The 19372-nt window shown below is 41.7% G+C and overlaps 1 protein-coding gene across 11 annotated transcripts in view, besides 6 other annotated features; it reads left to right on the top strand.

Moving 5' to 3' along the window:
- Positions 14660 to 14739: an enhancer, noted in NCBI's record as "active region_5471". NCBI's record gives its function as "activates an Ori minimal core promoter by ATAC-STARR-seq in GM12878 lymphoblastoid cells {active_cell/tissue: GM12878}" and the evidence as "EXISTENCE:reporter gene assay evidence [ECO:0000049][PMID:35858748]".
- Positions 16574 to 17090: an enhancer, noted in NCBI's record as "H3K27ac hESC enhancer chr11:107436331-107436847 (GRCh37/hg19 assembly coordinates)". NCBI's record gives its function as "activates a minimal SCP1, AML or CMV promoter by ChIP-STARR-seq in naive H9 embryonic stem cells {active_cell/tissue: H9 hESC(naive)}" and the evidence as "EXISTENCE:reporter gene assay evidence [ECO:0000049][PMID:30033119]".
- Positions 16574 to 17609: a biological region, named in NCBI's record as "H3K27ac hESC enhancers GRCh37_chr11:107435812-107436330 and GRCh37_chr11:107436331-107436847".
- Positions 16668 to 16727: an enhancer, noted in NCBI's record as "active region_5470". NCBI's record gives its function as "activates an Ori minimal core promoter by ATAC-STARR-seq in GM12878 lymphoblastoid cells {active_cell/tissue: GM12878}" and the evidence as "EXISTENCE:reporter gene assay evidence [ECO:0000049][PMID:35858748]".
- Positions 16798 to 17287: an enhancer, noted in NCBI's record as "active region_5469". NCBI's record gives its function as "activates an Ori minimal core promoter by ATAC-STARR-seq in GM12878 lymphoblastoid cells {active_cell/tissue: GM12878}" and the evidence as "EXISTENCE:reporter gene assay evidence [ECO:0000049][PMID:35858748]".
- The window catches only part of ALKBH8 (alkB homolog 8, tRNA methyltransferase), a 63009-nt gene continuing 60596 nt past the window's right edge, over positions 16960 to 19372 (top strand). For 7 of the 11 annotated variants that reach the window (NR_165424.1, NR_165425.1, NR_165421.1 and 4 more), the window contains exon 1: positions 16960 to 17094. Coding sequence is in view for 2 of the 11 variants with exons in the window: in XM_047427871.1 (XP_047283827.1) it covers positions 17063 to 17065 (3 nt within the window). In the remaining 9 variants the exon portion in view is untranslated. The remainder of the gene's footprint in view (positions 17095 to 19372) is intronic. The other 4 variants (NR_165422.1, NM_001301010.3, XM_047427871.1 and 1 more) reach the window with 1 other exon arrangement.
- Positions 17091 to 17609: an enhancer, noted in NCBI's record as "H3K27ac hESC enhancer chr11:107435812-107436330 (GRCh37/hg19 assembly coordinates)". NCBI's record gives its function as "activates a minimal SCP1, AML or CMV promoter by ChIP-STARR-seq in naive H9 embryonic stem cells {active_cell/tissue: H9 hESC(naive)}" and the evidence as "EXISTENCE:reporter gene assay evidence [ECO:0000049][PMID:30033119]".

Genomic DNA, 19372 nt, shown 5'->3' with positions numbered 1-19372 from the left:
AATACTTGGAAGAGTAGTTCTGTCTCAGAATCCCTTGGGTAAATGTTTTCCAAATAAACATGCCAGAACATCACCTAGGCCTTGTGAATCAGAATCCTTGGGGAATGGGGCCCATACCTGTATGGGTTTTGAAAACTTCCCCAGGTGATTCTAATGCACATAGCTGATTAAGAACCACACACTTAGCAGACAAGCCAAGTAAAAGCAAAAATTGAAGTTCATTTGTTTCCTATTTTATTATATTCTTGCAATAAAATAATAAAACATATATGTTGCCCCAGGCTGAATCTTCTAAACAGGCCTGTTGTGAATAGACTACAATGTGGTTAGTTCCTTTCTTTAACTAACTGAAATTAGTGCATTACTAGCACAATAGTCAGAGCACTTAATAGGCTCTCCACAGAGAGAAGCAAGAGCATCGAGTGCCCCAAAGCTTGCCATCCTTTACCATCAACATTTATTAGGCTGTGACAGGCATGGTAAGGCCAAACGGGACTGGGCCAGTTCATTTGCAGGGGAACATGATGTTGCGCTCAAGGATGGAGGAAGAGACTTAAAGCAAACCTTTTTTTTTTTTTTTTTTTTCAGAATAACAGCCAACACGTATAGTGCCTTACTTTGTGCCAGGTCTTACTCAGAACACTGTACCCATATTATCTAATTTCATCCTCATAATGACCTTAAAATATTATTACCCCCACTTTTCCTACAGATGAAGAACCTGAGGCATAACAAGGTCAAGGTCACAAAGCTAGCAATGACAGTGGCTGCAAGATTCCAGGCAGTCTAACCGAGAGCCCACACTTAAACTTCGTGTGATATTATCTCTCAAAATCATACCAGTTGACTGCTACTTGATGAGAAGGAATGGAGAGTGCAAGTTTTATTCTGTTTTTGTCCTTTACTAGATTGTTAGTCATAAGCAGCCTCATACATAGCGGAAATTGGGATATATTTTGGAGAAGGAGTGAGGAAGAGTGCATATCACCCATGCCAAGAAACACACACTTTCTTTTGTTCCTCTTGCTTTCCTTATCTCCTTTTATCTTTTCTTTTTTTGTCCTTTTTTCTTCTCCATTAGTTAGGCTGTTAGTCTATAGACATCACCTACAAAATTTTTTTAGTGTTCATGGGAATCCTTTTTAGTGATCATGGGCCAGGGCTGGAGTTTGGGTTGGAGGAGCCAAATACTATGCCAGGCAAAAGAGAAATACTAAGAAGCACAAGGTAAGAATGCAATGGAGAGCAAATGCGGAAAGAACCAGGAATGCATTCAAGCTGAGTGAAGGAAGGGAGGTGTCCCAGGTGGCTCTCCCAACAATTAGGACACCAATTAAGTTCACACGAAGGTTGGAGGGAAGGGAGGAGGTTACACGTTTGAGATGACTAAGATTAGGAGCACAAAAGAGGAATGCAGTTAAGACACAAACAACATCCATGCAAAAGTGGGAGATGTCCCCAGAGGAGGGTGAGGGTATTGGGAAGCACAGTTCTTAGATGGGATGGACCAATACCAGATAAGACAACTATCATTTAAATGTCAATGAAACAACAAAATCAAACGTTACAGTCAAAGGGACCTTTGAAATAATCAATTCAGGTAAGATTTTAAAATTTTAGGCCGGGCGCAGTAGCTCACGCCTGTAATCCCAGCACTTTGGGAGGCCGAGGCGGGCAGATCATGAGGTCAGGAGATCGAGACCATCCTGGCTAACACAGTGAAACCCCGTCTCTACTAAAAATACAAAAATTAGCCGGGCATGGTGGCGGGCGCCTGTGGTCCCAGCTACTCGGGAGGCTGAGGCAGGAGAATGGCATGAACCTGGGAGGCGGAGCTTGCAGTGAGATGAGATCACACCACTGTATCCAGCCTGGGCAACAGCGCAAGACTCCATCTCAAAAAAAAAAAAAAGAAAAAAAAATTTTAGCAACTGAACCCTTATAAATGACTTTCTACTGTGAACCCCAAAATGTTAAACTGACAAAAGCAGATCCACTCTCAATAAATTTGGGGTAGGCCAGTGCCCCACTCCTCTGTGCTTGGTGGCTACTGAGGCATCTCTAAGAAGCCCTAATAAGGCTCAAAGGAGCACAGTTTGAAAATCAATGGTTTCGTCCAACTACCCCATTTTACAGAGAAGCAATTGAGATGTGGGAAGGTGACAGGACTTCCACCCCCATGCAGTGTGCTCTGTCCTATGACTCTGCTTTTAAACCAGCACACAGAATAAATCAACAAATACATATTGAGCACCACCTGTGTGCAGCACTGGGTCCTGGATGCTACAGCATAGGATACAAAGGTCAACAGTGGCCTTCAAAGAATTTCTAGCTGGGTGCAGTGGCTCACGTCTGTAATCCCAGCACTTTGGGAGGCTGAGGCAGGCGGATCATGAGGTCAGGAGTTTGAGACCAGCCTGACCAATATGGTGAAGCCCTGTCTCTACTAAAAAATACAAAAATTAGCTGGATGTGGTGGCACGTAACTGTAATGCCAGCTACTCGGGAAGCTGAGGCAGAGGAATTGCTTGAACCTGGGAGGCGGAGGTTGCAATGAGCTGAGATCACACCACTGCACTCGAGCCTGGGCAACAGAGCGAGACTCCATTTCAAAAAAAAAAAAAAAAACAGAATTTATAGCCTGATTACAGAATACTGAATAATAATGTAAAAGTTAAATAGTTGAAAGAGCCAGCTGGGTGCCGGAACTGGTTCCTATAATCTCAGCACTGTGGAAGGCTGAGGGGGGAGGATCTCTTGAGCAGAGTTTGAGGCCAGCCTGGGCAACATAGGGAAATCCTGTGTCTACAAAAAAAAAAAAAAGATTAGCTGGGCATGGTGATGCACACCTATAGTCCCAGTTACTCGGGAGGCTAAGGTGGGAGGATTTTTTTTTTATTTTTAATTTTTGTGGGTACATGGTAGGTGTATGTGTTTATGGGTTACATGACATATTTTGACACAAGCATGCAATGAGACAAAATCATATCACGGTAAATAGGGTACCTATCACCTCAAACATTTATTCTTTATGTTTCAAACAATCCAATTATATACTATTATATTTTAAAATAAACACTTAAAAAATTTTTTTTTACTATAGTCACCCTGTTGTGCTAGCAAATGCTAGGTTTTATTTATTCTTTCTAACTATTTTTTGTACCCATTAACCACCTGCTCCCTACTACCCTTCCCTCTACTCTGTAACTCCATGAATTCAATTGTTGTAATTTTTAGCTCCCACAAATAAGTGAGAACAGGTGATGTTTGTCTGTCTGTGCCTGACTTATTTCACTTAATATAATGACCTCCAGTTCCATCTATATTGTTGCAAATGACAGGATCTCATTCTTTTTTATGGCTGCGTAGTACTCCATTGTGTATATGTACCACATTTTCTTTGTTCATTCATGTCTTGATGGACACTTAGGTTGCTTCCAAATCTTGGCTATTGTAAATGATGCTGCAACAAACATGGGAGTGCAGATACCTCTTCGATATACTGATTGGAGTTTTGGAATTTCAGTCTCCAGGTCTGCATGGGAAATTTGCCTATAGGCACTTGCTGCTTGAATGTGCACACCTCTCTTAGTATTTCTTATTGGGTTTGGCATAGCCCAACTCTAACCTGGTACACCTGAGAGTTGGGCCTTCCTTTGAAGCCTGTCACTTCCATGGACTGTGGCTTTTCTAGGTCCTTTGAAGGCTATTACTTCTATGGCTTTCAGTTTGGAGACCAGTCCCTACTTCGGCGTTTTGAGAGCAAAAGGTGTTCTCGTCATGTATTCCATGGCTTTAGGGCCTTCTAGGTGATCAAAGTCTGGAACCCAAATCCTTCAGGAATTTCCATATATCAGACTTCCTTGGAGGCTTTCTTGTCTCATTTGTATCAAAAATAGAACTGGAGTACTCTGGTGTTGCTTGCCTGTCATCCTCTACCTCAGGACCATCTCTGCTAAGCATTTGTTCCAAACCTGACCCAAACAGGAGAGTATGAGCTTGGATCCTGATATAAAAGAGGACTGTCTGGACCAAGCAGGGCTGCCCTGAGGCACTGCTGTGTATTGCATGCTGACCACCATCTCCCATAACTTAAAAGAAGGATGACTGAGTCTCACTTGATCCTGGACTCTGGCCTAGATGGACAACCCAATACATTTTGGTCTTAACCCTGCTTATGAAACCCCAAAAATATGGCTAATAGAAGTAATGCTTCTGGAGCACATTTTCCCTCAGGAAATGCAAATGGATCTCTCAAATCTAAGTGTTTTTGTTTAGAAAAGCAAACAAAAGATCTCAGCTTTTTTCTTCCATGAATACAGTTTGACCTCATTTCTCCACTTTCATTGTTCCTAGGTACTTAGGGCTCCAACCACCATCCCTGGTGTAGAGTTGTCTAGAGGAACTACAGGCAGTTCTAGATAGTTTTGAGATCAAGCCATGCTTTAAAAAAAAAAAAAAAAAAAAAAAAGCACAACCCAGATTGTAAGGCATTGTATTAGAAGTGAACTTCTTACTGCAGTATCTCTCCCTCTTGCAGTGATGAAGTCTTTCCCACATCTTCAAGATACTGGGAAGATCATTCATGGGCCTCATTGACACCCCTGTTTCAGTCCTCATTACTATTTACTTAAACAGCTAATTGGCAAGGAAGGGGACATTTGTGAACAATACCATTAGATTTTAACCACTCCACAGACACCTTCGTATAGCCCTGGAAAGTGGACTACCCTCCAAATACCTGATGGTTTTCCATTGTCCAAACACCTCCTAGCCCAGACCCTCATCCTCCCTGGAGGCCTGGTGGTCTGCTTCCCACCACTGCCTTAGTAACGGGTGAACCAGAAGCCCAGCCTAGACCACTGGCACTAGCCATTGTATCAACAACTTTGGTTCCCAGTCAGATTTGCTTTTTTTTCTGTTCTGTGACTTGTGGCTTAAATCCTAGTTCATCTTTCAATTGTTATTAAGGTGGTTCGGTGTCTCTGTTAATTCTTGTTGATTTTTTTTTTTTATATCAACTGCGCTGACTTTTGAGAGATTCTTTGTTACTAAGGCTTAGTAACATCTACTTAAAACTCCTAACCTTTGACTTTGGTACTTGGACTCCTCTTTTGGATGCTGAATGGGAGGAGCCTGGCATCACTTCAGGGAAGTGGCACCTTCTAAAGGCCTCCTTATCAGCCAGAAGCCTTTGGTGATTCAGGAGCTTTTGAGACCGTATAACTGCCCAGTGGGTTCACCTTTCCCTCTGCCTAGGCGGAGCCGATTTATCAAGACAGGGGAATTGCAATGGAGAAAGAGTAATTCACCAGAGCCGGCTGTGCCGGAGACCAGAGTTTTATTACTACTCAAATCAGTCTCCCTGAGCATTCAGGGATCAGAGTTTTTAAAGATAATTTGGTGGGTAAGGGCTTGGGAAGAGGGGAGTGCTGATTGGTCAGGGTGGAGATGGAATCATAGGGGGTTGAAGTGAGTTTTTCTTGCTGTCTTCTGCTCCTGTGTGTGATGGCAGAACTGGTTGAGCCAGATTACCAGTCTGTGTGGTGTCAGCTGATCCGTCAAGTGCAGGGTCTGCAAAATATCTCAAGCACTGATCTTAGGTTTTATAATAGTGATGTTATCCCCAGGAGCAATTTGGGAAGGTTCAGACTCTTGGAACCAGAGATTGTATGACCCCTAAACTGTAATTTTCAATCTTGTAGCTAAGTTAGTCCAGCAAAGGCAGACTGGTCCCCAGGCAAGAAGGGGGTCTTTTTGGGAAAGGGCTGTTATCAATTTTGTTTCAGAGTCAAACCATGAACTGAATTCCTTCTCAAAGTTAGTTTGACCTGTGCCCAGGAATGAACAAGGACAGCTTAAAGGTTAGAAGCAAGACAGAGACAGTTAGATCTGATTTCTTTCACTGTCATCATTTCCTCAGTTATAATTTTGCAAAAGTGGTTTCAATAGTGTTGGTATTTGCCCCAGGATACTTTGTTTCTAGACGTTCTTGCTTCCACTGCTGCCACCTCCTGGTCAAAGGTGCCTGATACACTGAAAAGAATTTGTATTTTCTTTGGGTCCTAGATTTTTGTCTTTAACAATTTGTCCCTAATTTTTTGTTTCCTGAATTCTTTGCCAAGGCTTGTCTAACCACCTCACCTCACCTCACCCCAATTTCCTTGGGTTTGATTAAAACCAATTAATGTGAAGTCACTGCTAACCACCTCACCTCATCTCATAATATTTATTTATATTCATTGGCCTGAAAGACCATTTAAAACTACGGAGGTATGTGTAATATGAGGGATAACATAAGAAATAAGTCAGAAACTCACAAGCCCCAAATAATAATGATAGGTATGAAAAACATTTGCTAATATGAGATCATGGTCCACCTGTATTACCAGGTCAAACATTCAACTTCACTAAACTTTTTGTTTCAAGTAATTTTTTCAAAGCTTTTCTGAATAAGATATGTTTCTTAGTCTATTCCTGCTATTATAACAAAATGCCTTATAAATTACCTAGTCTAGGCAACAGAAATGTATTTGAAACAGTTCTGGAGACTGGGAAGTTAAAGCTCAGGGCAGAAGCAGATTCAGCATCTGGTAAAGATCTGTTCCTCATAGATGGCACCTTCTTGCTACATCTTTGCATGGCAGAATGACAGAAGGAGCAAACGCACTTCTTTCTCTTCTTTTTAAGGGTACTAGTCCCATTCATGAGGGTGGACCTCTCATGACTTAATGGCTTCCAAAAGACCCACGTCCTTTTTTTTTTTTTTTTTTTTTTTGAGACAAAGTCTCTCTCTTATCCCCCAGGCTGGAGTGTGATGGCGCAATCTCAGCTCACTGCAACCTCTGCCTCCCGGGTTCAAGCGATTCTCCTGCCTCAGCCTCCCGAGTAGCTGGGACTACAGGCGCCTGCCACCACGCCCGGCTAATTTTTGTATTTTTAGTAGAGACAGGGTTTCACCATGTTGGCAAGGCTGGTCTCAAACTCCTGATCTCAGGTGATTGGCCCGCCTCAGCCTCCCAAAGTGCTGGGATTACAGGAGTGAGCCACCACACCCAGCCAGACCCACCTCTTAATACTATTGCACTGGGGACTAAATTTAAGCTTATGAATTTTGTGGGGGAGCGGAGGACTCCAACATTCAGCCCATAGCAACGTGTTGTTTCGTGAAGAGGGTCATAATCAACGCTAATTAATTGTTAATTCCTCATCCTGATTATGTCAACAGGCCTCCTAGAGATATTGAAAAGTAAATTCTAGGTCTGGTTAACTTTCCATTGACCACGTGGTCCCCTAAGCCATATTTTAAATAGGTGAGAAAATAATGATACTCAATCTTATTTCTGACTTTGAAAGCAGGGGCAAGAGAAGAAAACAAGACAATGCTGTTTGTCCTTTAGAAATATTATCTCATCTAAACTTTCAATTAAGACTCTGTATACACTATCATTCTTAAAGATTTTAAAAGTTATACTATGTAAACTACCCTGTATGTGTTTGCATAACAGATGCACCCACTTTAACAAAACATTTTTCACCTTTTTATGTCTATATTTTTGTCTCATTATACTTGGAATACTTCAAAATATAAAAAAGGACACGTCTTTTCTGCAATGGTGTCCCTCAGCAATAATGCATGCAGTTGGTAAAGGGGAAACCTTTGGGTTAGACTCCTGGCTTTATCACTAACTGTGTCAATCTTGGGAAAGTTGCTTAAACTCTCTGAGCCTCAGAGCTCATTTGTAAAATTGGGAGAATAAAACTTGTACGGTTATTGAAGGATTCAGGAATAGTGTATGTTAAGCACTTTGTGCTTGTAATAAAAGGTAGATGTAAAGAGGTACATGTTTTAACGTATAAAAGTTGGCCCTAGGCCGTGCACGGTGGCTCACACCTGTAATCCCAGCACTTTGGGAGGCCAAAGCGGGAGGATCACTTGAGGCCAGGAGTTCGGGACCAGCCTGGCCAACACGGTGAAACCCCGTCTCTACTAAAAATACAAAAATTAGCCAGGCGTGGTGGCAGGCACCTGTAATCACAACTACTCAGGAGGCCGAGGCAGGAGAATTGCTTGAACCTGGGAAGCTGAGGTTGCAGTGAACCAAGATTGCGCCACTGCACTCCAGCCTGGGTGACAGAGCAAGACTCTTGTCTCAAAAAATAAAATAAAAAATAAAATAAAATAAAAGCTAGCTCTTTTACTCATGCGATAACAGACATGGATGTAAATCACTCTTTAAAATATTTTATATTTAAATCCCAGCACTTTGGGGGGCCAAAGCAGGCGGATCATGAAGTCAGAAGATCAAGACCATCCTGGCCAATATGGTGAAACCCATCTCTACTAAAAATTACAAAAAAATTAGTTGGGCATGGTGGCGCATGCCTGTAGTCCCAGCTACTTGGGAGGCTGAGGCAGGAGAATCACTTGAACCCAGGAGGCAGAGGTTGCAGTGAGCCGAGACTGCATCACTGCACTCCAGCCTGGCAACAAAGCAAGACTCCATCTCAAAAAAATACAAAAATAAAAATAAAAAAATTTATATTTAAACAGCTCATACATTTTGTCTTTAAGTCTCAGTTGTTACATTTGTAAAATGGGATATAAGAGATGCCAAAAAGAGTTGTTTTTATTTTTTATTAAAAATTTTTTAAAAACTTTTGTCAAATTATAAAACATAATCTATTATTCTTTAATAATTTAATAATCTGAAATTTGAATCATCTGCTTCTTGGTCCTTGCACCTTATAAAATTAAAATACTTCCCTTGAAATGAGAATTCCAAATATACTAGAAATCTGGCAGCTTCTCACTCTGGGGATGATTTTTAAAGAGGTCTATGTTGACAAATAACATACAATCTTTTTCCTCAGTGGTTGAACACTTGCAAAAGTAGCAAAATTGCTTGTTAAACATGCAGGTTACTGGGCCCTGGCCCCAGAGATTTTGGAGCACACACTGTAACCAACTGGTGTTCAGAGAATTAAAATTTATATGTGCTTTAAGTTGACTCGTTATGTCTAGTGGGGTTGGAGACCACTTAACCAAGCACTTCAGTGATTCTGATGCAAGTAGTCTAAGAACCAGCCTTTGAGGAACATGCCCTAGTGCAGTGGCCTCTAAAGTGAAGTGTGTATGGCTTGTGGGATTTAGAAGAATATTCTAGAAATTCCATTTATATGTTTATCTAAAACAAATTAATCTCTATTCACATTTAATATCCTGGAAGCTTCATTAGGTGTGAATGTCTGATGTTACATGTCACAGACTTTATGAGAGGTGCTCTAGAAGAGGAGAGGAGTGAGAGCTCACAGGCAGGACAGCTGCCTCTGGCATCCTCCCTCTTTTGATTTAAGCGAGACATTATTTTTTTGTGGTGCCTGATAAATGGATTTTTGGATTATGTAATCCAAAAACTATTTTTTGCAAAATGGACAAGTGGGTTAGAAAACTCTGAATTCCCTACAGTGAAGATGAATATAGACAATAATTCAAGCACAAATAACCAACAGAAAATAGCAAAATTAATGCTCCTAGTATGAGCTCTCAGTCCCAACCTAACAGCTGAGACTATCTAATCAGATCTGACAAGAAGTCTACTCCCCAAACTAGAAGCGATCACAAATATAGTTAATAATGAAGCTTGCCCTCTCTGGGCAAATATCTTTGTGTCTTTGAGAAATTAATGATAGAATGAAGCCATCAATGTGGCAAGACATTTTTAAATGAAATGTTTATACATTTTTAAAATATACTTTTTTCTTCTACATTTAAGGGAAACATTTTTAAAAGATTTTGTTTTATTTTATCATAACCTTTTAAAATCCACAAATCCCACACCTCTAGCCACCCCAAAGATTTTCCTGCACCCTGAGTTGCCTGCTAGTTCTTTATTCTCATCTATTTAAAAAATCTGTGTAGAAAAGAAAATTATTCTGCAAAGTAAGCAGGCCTTTAGCCTCAAGAATAAATAGACCATTTGGGGGAGGTTAATGCTTCGTAGCTAAAATTGTATGCTTTGCAAATGACCAAAAAAAAAAAATAATAATAATAAATGAATTCTCCAAGCTGAGTTTTATGTTTTGTATTATAAATTAAAGGCTGACCCTTTTCCTTCTCCTCTGTTTTTTTTCTTGGTTACCTTTTGCCTCTAATTACTGTACAGGGAATACTTTCACCATATGACTTATAAAACTGCAAACTTTTCATTGAATTTTTATCACCATAGCGTGAATAATGTATTCAGTCCTGAAATGTCACAGTGAACATCAAATGGTTTTACATAATGCATTCTTGCTGAAGTTTCAAGAAGCCAGCAACCAGGGAAGCAGCAGAGAAGACACAACTTTGGAAAGAAAACTTGATACAAATTTGTCATTTTTCCAGGAGGAATAAAATAAGTAGCAGAAGAGTAAATGAGAGGAAAGACTGAGAAATAAAACTTTTTTTTTTTAAACCATAAATAGAAAAACAAGCAAAACTAGTACAGTTGCCACAGGGGACAACTGGAAGAAAAACTAGAAAGTAGCCAGAAACAGATGGTGGGGAAAGGGGCTGTAGGGAGAAGGGCGAGGTTAGAAACCTCATAACCATAGGAATTGAGTTTGAAACTGCAGTCAAACAGTTTCATAGTTTGGAACTACAGTAAAAATGTAACAATTTTCAAGGACTATTGGGGCCATTTTCAATTTTTTTCTGATTGAAGACTCTTGAACTAGAATACAATAGCTGTAAGAATTCTAGTTTTGGATGCTTTATTAGCTGATGAGAGTGCTCATTACTCTGTCGTCCAGGCTGGAGTTCAGTGGTGCAATCATAGCTCACTGTCACCTTGAATTCTTGGGCTCAAGTGATCCTCCCATGTTAGCCTCTTGAGTAGCTAGGACTATAGGTGCATGCCACCATGTCTGGCTAATTGAAGAGTGGCCATTCTTTTAGCATCCTTTTCTCATAGGTTTGGGGAGAGCTCGTAATGTGACAATCTGGCCAAAAATAAGTGCTCCATCCCTTATGGGACACACTGTTAGTGGTCTACCCAATGATTGTCTCCCCTTTTTCTTGCTAATAGAAACCTATTCCCCTCATTCCCTGCCCATAGTCTGTCAAGGTCTCTTGATCTCAGGGAGGACACACTTCATCCAAGCCCCACAGAGTGAATCATGATTGGCCTTATAGCAGTCATGGTAATTCTACTTCCCTTAGCTACTGTTTGATATGGGGGTGAGAGTGTGTAATAGTTTTCTATTGCTGCTGTAACAAATTACCACAAGTTTAGCAGTTCACAGCAACGCAAATTTATTATATCACAGTTCTGTAGGTTGTAAGTTTGGGTTGGTTCAGTTGACTTCTCTGCTCCGAACTTCATAAAGACAAAATCCCAAGAAGCCAACTGGCTGGGCTCTTATCAAGATACCCTTGGAAGGATCTGCTTCCAAACGTATTCAGGTTGTTGGCAGAAGACAGTTCCTGTGTGTGCAGGATGAAGTCCCCATTTCCTTGTTGGTTATCAGATGGGATGGCCCCTAGCTCATTAGAGGCCTTGCTCCATGTCCTTGCACATAGACCCTTACATCTCAGAGCTGGCTAGTGTTGGAATCCACACTTGGAACCACTCTGACTTCTCTAGCTGGAATAGCTAGAGTAAATGCTTTGCCTTTAAGGAATTGTGTGATTAGACTGGGCCCTTGGCAAAACTAGGATAATCTATTTTAAAGTCTGCAAACCTAACTACACCCATATATTCATAAATTCCAGAGATTAGAGTGTGAAAGTTTTTGGGGGCCCATTATCCTGCCTACTATAGTATGAAACTCATGTGTGCTTTAAAAAAAAAAAAAAAAAAGAGAGAAGTCCATTGGGAGCTGTATTTCCTGGATGAAAAGACTGAGAAACTGCTTTTTTTTTTTTTTTTTTCAATTAGAGATGCCAGTATGGGGACAAGATGTCTGGAACTGTAGCAGCTACTTTGTAACCAGGAGACATCAGGAATGAAGATAACAAGTCAATACATCAAGGATGGCAGAGCAGAAGAACAGAGGGCATTTTTCAGCAGCAGAAACAGTACCAGTGATTGCCTTGTCTGGCTGGCTTGTCATTTGAGGAAAGACAACTATTTGTTTAAGCAATCAGCCCAGTTTTCTGTTACTGGCAACTAAAAGCAATTCTAAATGACATTGATATGGAAGGGAGGCAGGGAAATGCTGGGAGGAGAAGGGCGGGTCCCTGGCGAGGGTTCCACCCCCAGGCCTGTGCCCAGGGAATGCACTCCTGCCTTCGCATCCAAATGTTGCATTTCCCAAGACCACCCTGGCATGCCATCCTGTGTCTATAAAAACCCCGAGACCCTAGCAGGCAGACACACAAGCGGCTGGACGTCCAGAGGACGTCCAGGGGAGCACACCGGCGGAAGGGCACACCAACAGACACAGGCAGCAGACACAGGCAGGTCGGCAGGCCTTCAACGGGCAGAACTATGCAGAGTTTGGCCACGGCGGCTGGAGGAGAGCCTGAGCCACTGAGCGCCCAACTCCAGGGGAAAACCATCTCCCTCTGGCTCCCCCATCTGCTGAGAGCTACTCCCACTCAATAAAACCTTGCACTCATTCTCCAAGCCCAGTGTGATCTGATTCTTCTGGTACACCAAGGCAAGAAACCCTGGGATACAGAAAGCCCTCCGTCCACGTGATAAGGAAGGGGGTCTAATTGAGCTGACTAACACAAGCCACCTAATGGCCAGCTAAGCTATAAGAACACCCTGTAACACACGCCCACTGGGGCTTCAGTAGGTGTAAACATTCACCCCTAGACACTGCCATGGGGTCAGAGCCCCACAGCCTGCCCGTCTGCATGCTCCCCTAGAGGTTGGAGCAGCAGGGCACTGAAGAAGCGAATCACTCCCCCGCTGCACGCCTTGCGAGGGGGACAAGGGAAGTTATCCCCTTTCAATATGTTACTCCTAGCCTTAATTTCTGGAACTTTATTTTTCAATACTTTAAAATGCAGTGTTGGTTAATCTGATTAAATTCACTTATATTTCACTTATATTCTATTATAATTCATAATAAATGTGTTAATTGGTGGGCTGATCTTACCTGTACTTTGAGATGGTGCTCTCAATTCAGGGAAGGTCCAGAGGGTGGAAAACTATAGCCCACTGGCCAAATCCTGCCAGCATAAGCCAGGGGAGCTGAGAAAGGTTCTTTTTTTAAAGGATTTTTAAAGGGTTGTTAAAAAATAAAAACAGGCTGGCTACGGTGGCTCACGCCTGTAATCCCAGCACTTTGGAAGGCCAAGGTGGGTGGATCACTTGAGGTGAGGAGTTCAACACCAGTCTGGCCAACATGGTGAAACCCTGTCTCTATTAAAAATACGAAAAATTAGCTGGGCGTGGTGGCGGGCGCCTGTACTCCCAGCTACTCTGGAGGTCGAGGAAGGAGAATGGCGTGAACCTGGGAGACAGAGCTTGCAGTGAGCCGAGATCGCACCACTGCACTCCAGCCTGGGCAACAGAGCGACTCCGTCTCAAAAAAAAATAAAAATAAAAATAAAAAAATAAAAAACAAAAAACAAAAAATTAGCTGGGCATGGTGGCGCGTGCCTGTAATCCCATCTACTCAGGAGGCTGAGGCAGAAGAATCGCTTGAATCCAGGGGGCAGAGGTTGAAGTGAGCTGAGATTGTGCCACTGCACTCCAGCCTGGGCGACAGAGTGCGACTCCATCCCAAAAAATAAAAGTAAAAAAATAAAAACAAAGAATATTTGGCCACAAAGCTGAAAATATTTATTATCTGGTCCTTTACAGTAAAATCTTGCTGACCCCACTACTAGTCACATAGAGGACTCACCTCTCATGAAGTTGAGACTAAGGTTTTACTAAGGAAACAGGTCAGCATTTCATACTTTTGAAAAATTATTATAGATCACCATGTAAAGTGTTTGGCACAGGTGAAGATGAATTATATCTTCAAATAAAAATTCCTTTTCAGCTCAACATTTATTAAATTTCTAGTATTACAAGACTATGGAAGACATTGTGGTTACATAATAAATAAAACAAGGTCTCAGTGTACCTGAAAATCTTTTGGGGAATCATCTTCCTTAGAAGAAATGGTCTATGCAATATTCCAAGAAAAGATAAGGGTCTGTATACAAAGGATGTCACACAAAATTGTATATGTATTCACCTTTTTCTGGAGATATTGAGACATGGATGGGCAGCAGATAATGGGAAATGAAGGCTTGTAACTCAGGAGAAGAAGATAAATGAATAATCACTTAACAGCTAATCTCTGTTTGGTGTTTTATTAATTATCACGTAAATCTCAACAAAATAAATGCTGTTTTGTAGTTTTGATTTCAGGTCATACTCCAATGCCCCCATATTCTTTAGAAACCACTCTGGTTTCTAAAGGGAAGTGTTAATCAAGTTTAGCCTAAAGCTGCCTCCTTACATATTTAAGTTCAGCCTAAAGGTTTTTCTGTACATCGTGAACAAGTGGAGGAGTAAACCAACCATAGCCCACACCTGTGCCAATCGCTGAGTTTTGGCCAATCAAATGTAGCCAATTGTTTGAACAGTGTTCAAATAAGGCAAACACCAACCTGTAACCAATAACAGCTGTTTCTGCACCTCACTTCTGATTTCTGTACATCATTTCCTTTTTTTTTTTTTGTCTACAAATCCTCCACCACATGGCTGTGCTGGAGTCTCTCCAAATCTGCTGTGATTCTGGGGGCTGCCCGATTTACGAATCAAAAGTTCATTGCTCAATTAAACTCCTTTAAATTTAATTTGGCTAAAGTTTTTCTTTTAATAGAAGCCAGGGCTGAAGATAAAGATTAGGGAATGATTCACAAATCTCTTTATAACTCTGGGGAGGGCAGACAGGAAGAGACTAGAATAACAGAAAAGAGTCAAACTCAAAATCTGAGGGATTGCCTATATTTAATTACGGACAGAGTGAGAGAAACTAGTGGAAAATTCTGAAAGTAAGTGATCAGATCGTATAAAGAGAATTAAAAGAGAGGTGCAGAAAAAAAGTTTTAAAAGCTTCAGCACCTTAAAGCAGGACAAATACTGAGATGAAGTAATTGAATTTGATCAGTAAGAGATAAGAGGATATTTTACACTGTTATCCAGTTTGGTAGACACCGGCCACTTGTGGCTACTTAAGTTTAATTGAAACTAAAATTTAAACATTCAAAATTCATTTCCTTAGTCATACTAGCCACATTTGAAATGCTCATAAGCCACACGTTAACTAGTGTCTATTATGTTGGACAGCTCAAACTATAAAATATTTCCATCATTGCAGAAAGCTCTATGGGGATGTGTTTTTGAAAGCATCCAGTAGTGCAGAAGCAGAATTGCAATGGGGAGATTTCCTGTGTGTCCTCTTATACTCATGTAGCTTGCAATGTCTGGTGGATTTGACCTCTCCAGCTTGCACTTGCCTCCTCATTTTTACTATTAAGTTTTGGTCTCACCCTTTCTTTCCTAGACTATTGCAATGCTTGCCTATCTGCCTCTTCTGTTCTTTCATGTTTGTAACCTATTCTCCACACAAATCATTCCGCCACTCAACAGCACTCTTTTTTCACTGCCACTTTTCCTGGTCAGCCAGCTATTTTATTGTTAGTCCACTGTGGTGCACTGCAGATAGGGGCCATTGTATCAACAACATGGGAAGGTGATTCCTCTTCCCCTACACCTTTCCCTCCCTGCACTCACATAGCTCATAAACCAATGCAGGTAGAAGGATTATGGTACATTTATATAACAAATAACAGAGCAGGAACAACTGCTAATCATCACCCTCTCCTTTGTCTTTTACTTATGATCTGTTACCAGCTCTTTTTTCTTTCCCTCTGCCACTACTGGGCTTGTTAATATTTCGTTACTTTTCACTTCATCAGTCATCTTCTAGTCTCTCCTCCCACTTGCCACAAGAAGCTCTGGTCATATCATTTCATTTCTCTAACCTTCCTCCCTGCAACTCCCACTCTGCAGGCCTACAGAATTCTGTCTTGCTTCCTTCACCATTCTTCCACACATCTTTCTATTACTCTGTGGTACTCACCATTCCCCTGGCACATTCATGCATATTCACTTCCTTCCCTCCCGCCCATGCAATGCCATCTTTCAGACCCCAGGATCCTCTCCCATATCTCTGTGAACCCTGAATATCTGAGACAGGTCTCAGACAATTTAGGAAATTTATTTTGCCAAAGTTAAGGACGCCCGCCCGTGACACAGCCTCAGGAGGTCCTGATGATATGTGTCCAGGGTGGTCGGGGCACAGCTTGGTTTTATACATTTTAGGGAGACATGAGGCATCAATCAATATATGTAAGATGAACATTGGTTCCGTCCAGAAAGGAGGGACAAATTGAAGCAGAGGCGGGCCAACTCAAAGTGAGGAGGGGGCTTCCAGGTCGCACGTATTACAGCTGAGAGACAAATGGTTGCATTCTTTTGAGTTTCTGATGAGCCTTTCCAAAGGAGGCAATCAGATATGCATTTATCTCAGTGAGCAGAGGGATGACTCAGAGGGATGACTTTGAATAGAATGGGAGGCAGGTTTGCCCAAGCAGTTCCTAGCTTGACTTTTCCCTTTAGCTTAGTGATTTTGTGGCACCAAGATTTATTTTCCTTTCTCACCTCTAATAAGATTCAGGAGGAAATATGCACGAAGAATAGAAGGTGCCAGGGGACATTGCTGAAAGACCAAAGGGCCCAAACCTGTTTGACCTTGTCCATTTGGAGAGCAACAGATAAAAATATAGCTGCACTACCAATTATTACTACTCCCCCCAAAAAGACAACTGAATTTTCAGTGTAACAGACAGCACTTTACAAAGACACTTGGTCGAAAAAGGGTCACTCCCGGGCTCTGGGAGGCGAAGAGGACTGTGGGAGCGCTGTTCGTTGTCCCGCGGGCTCATGGGAAATGTAGTGCAGTTTTCTCCAACATGGCCGCGCCCAGGGGAGATGGCGTGCAAGTATCCGCTGCGGTGTTCTGGTGCTAGAGTGGAGAGGCTGGCAAAGAAGAAGGCACACGCATGGTGAGAATCCGGCCTGAGCCGAAGCGGAGGTGTGTGGCACTTCTTACTGGCGGGCATACGGGCAGCAAATCACCGCTTCCTCTTTTCAGCCTCTTCCGGTCTTCTCTATCCGCCTTGCCAGCTAGGGCTGAGAACCTAGGGAAAGGGGATGGATCCCAGAGGCGCCCTTGGTGCAGTGTGGGCAGTAGGGTGTCTGCGTTGGGTGGTTCTCTCAGTGTTTAGGGTGCATGTGTTTGTGTTTGGTTCGGGCGCTCACGTGGTGCCTGTGTCAATCTTCTGTTTTCTTTGGGGTTGGAGAGGACGGTTGCAACATGGGGCGTGTTAGTGTGGCGCTTCTGGGGCTTTTCTGACCGGTGACAATCGGTCTGATTGCATCGATGCAAAGGCAGTGCTGATGATCTGATCCCTTGCGCAGCTGAGTCTTCCTGTGCTCTTATTTGAGCAATCCCTGCGACTCCTGGACCTCTGGTAGCGTCAGCCTGTTATTTTGATAGATTTCATTGAATATTTATTGTCAGTTGTATGTCAGGCACCAAGTCTGTGCCCTTAAATAGATGACAGTTTTCTGGCCGAAGCCCAACACAAACAGGCAATTATAATACCATGTGAGAACTCTAGAGATAGAGGTCCATGCTAGGTGTTAATGAAAACGTTGAAGAAGGCCACCAAACTCAGAATTCTGGAGGAGGGGAGGTTTAGGAGGTAAGACAGCAAAGTCGATTTAGGTTTATTCGACAAATGGTTATTGAGTGGCTGCTAGGTGCTAAATCCTGTTTAAGTGCTGGGTGCTACAGGGTGAACAATAGAGACAAAATCTCTACTTCATGGAGTGAGTGTTCTTTATTCAGTTATGGGGAAAGACAGAATAAACAAATTAATGAGAGTGTAAGAAAATATGTAGTAAGTGTTATTCAAAGAGTTAAAACGGGGTGCCGTGACAAGTGATGGGGTGAATTTTTTTCTAAAAATTTTAAATCTTTATTTTCTTTTTAAATAGATGATGCAGTTTAAATAGCTACTAACTTCAAAAGTCATGAAAGAAGAAAGCTCCCTTTCATTCCTTTACTCATCGATCCATTTTCCTTCCCTGGAGGCAACCCATATCACCAATTTCTTGTGTGTCCTAAAGATTTATATGTAAACTCTGTATACCAGTGCCGTACGTTAAAATTGGGCCTCGTTTGATAGGAAGTTAGATTCTTTCTAATCTTTGCTATTAATTATTAGGTTGTGCAAAAGTAATCATGGTTTTTGCATTTTTTTAAACATATAAGTATAGGAACATTTGTCTATACTGCTTGTTTCATAATAGGCTCTCTATTATTCAAGGAGGGCATGATGTACATACTACTATTACCACGTAGGGCAATATCTAGTAGGATATATTGGCTTTAAACTCACTAACAAGCAAGTAGCAGAGCATGCATAATCTCCAAACTTTCATTATCCCACAGAGAGTACGCTTAGGCTGGAGCTGGCTGAACCGGACTCAGCATGGCTAGTATCATAGTTAATAGTGACTTCACTCCAGTAATGTCACAGGGAGCATCCAAGTATCTGTGCATTAGTGGAAACTCTGGCCAGGGAAGTGGCTTTGTCAGAAGGGGGCACCTCCAGACCTCAGCAGCTGGTATCAGCCTATCCTTGTTGAGATGACTCAGATATGTTGGGCCAGCACATTGCCTAGCCACTGGAATGGTGGAAAACTGAGCCTCAAAGGCCATTTAGTGTCTTTCTTCACGTGCAATAATATTGCATGACTGAGGGAGAGAAAAAGGAAAGGGATGACAAAAATGTGGTTATGAGGCTCCACCTGCTGGTGCTGGACTCTTAGTGGCAGACATTTTAAAAAGATATATTTAGCATCGTTTCTTTCTCATTCCTTCTTTGCAGTGTTTGCTCATGTGAAATATTAAAAATTCTGTAGTGCAGTCATCCCTTGTTCTCCATGACATACTGCAAAGTTGCTGTTCCACAGATGAAGATCTTGAAATGGAATGGCTCTAAAATAGCTCCTTTGAAGGGCCTCAGATATTCTTTGTTTTGTTAAGCCATTTTGATCTGCTGCTTCTGAAAATCAACAGTAATAAATAAATAATAATAAATAAATTTAATTCTAAGAAAGCTATGGGATAGGCACTATTATTTTTATCCCTATTCCTAGATAAAGAAACTGGAACACAGAGCTATATAACCAACTCATCTAGGATTATACAGCTAATAATCAGTGGTTGAGCTGAGATTTGAACCTGGAACATGGACTCCTAAACACTGTATTATATTACCTCATAGCACTGAATGAGGCTC

This window comes from Homo sapiens, chromosome 11 (assembly GCF_000001405.40).
Source record: "Homo sapiens chromosome 11, GRCh38.p14 Primary Assembly".
NCBI classification, from domain to species: domain Eukaryota; kingdom Metazoa; phylum Chordata; class Mammalia; order Primates; family Hominidae; genus Homo; species Homo sapiens.
This window is presented reverse-complemented; position numbering and strand designations above follow the sequence as displayed.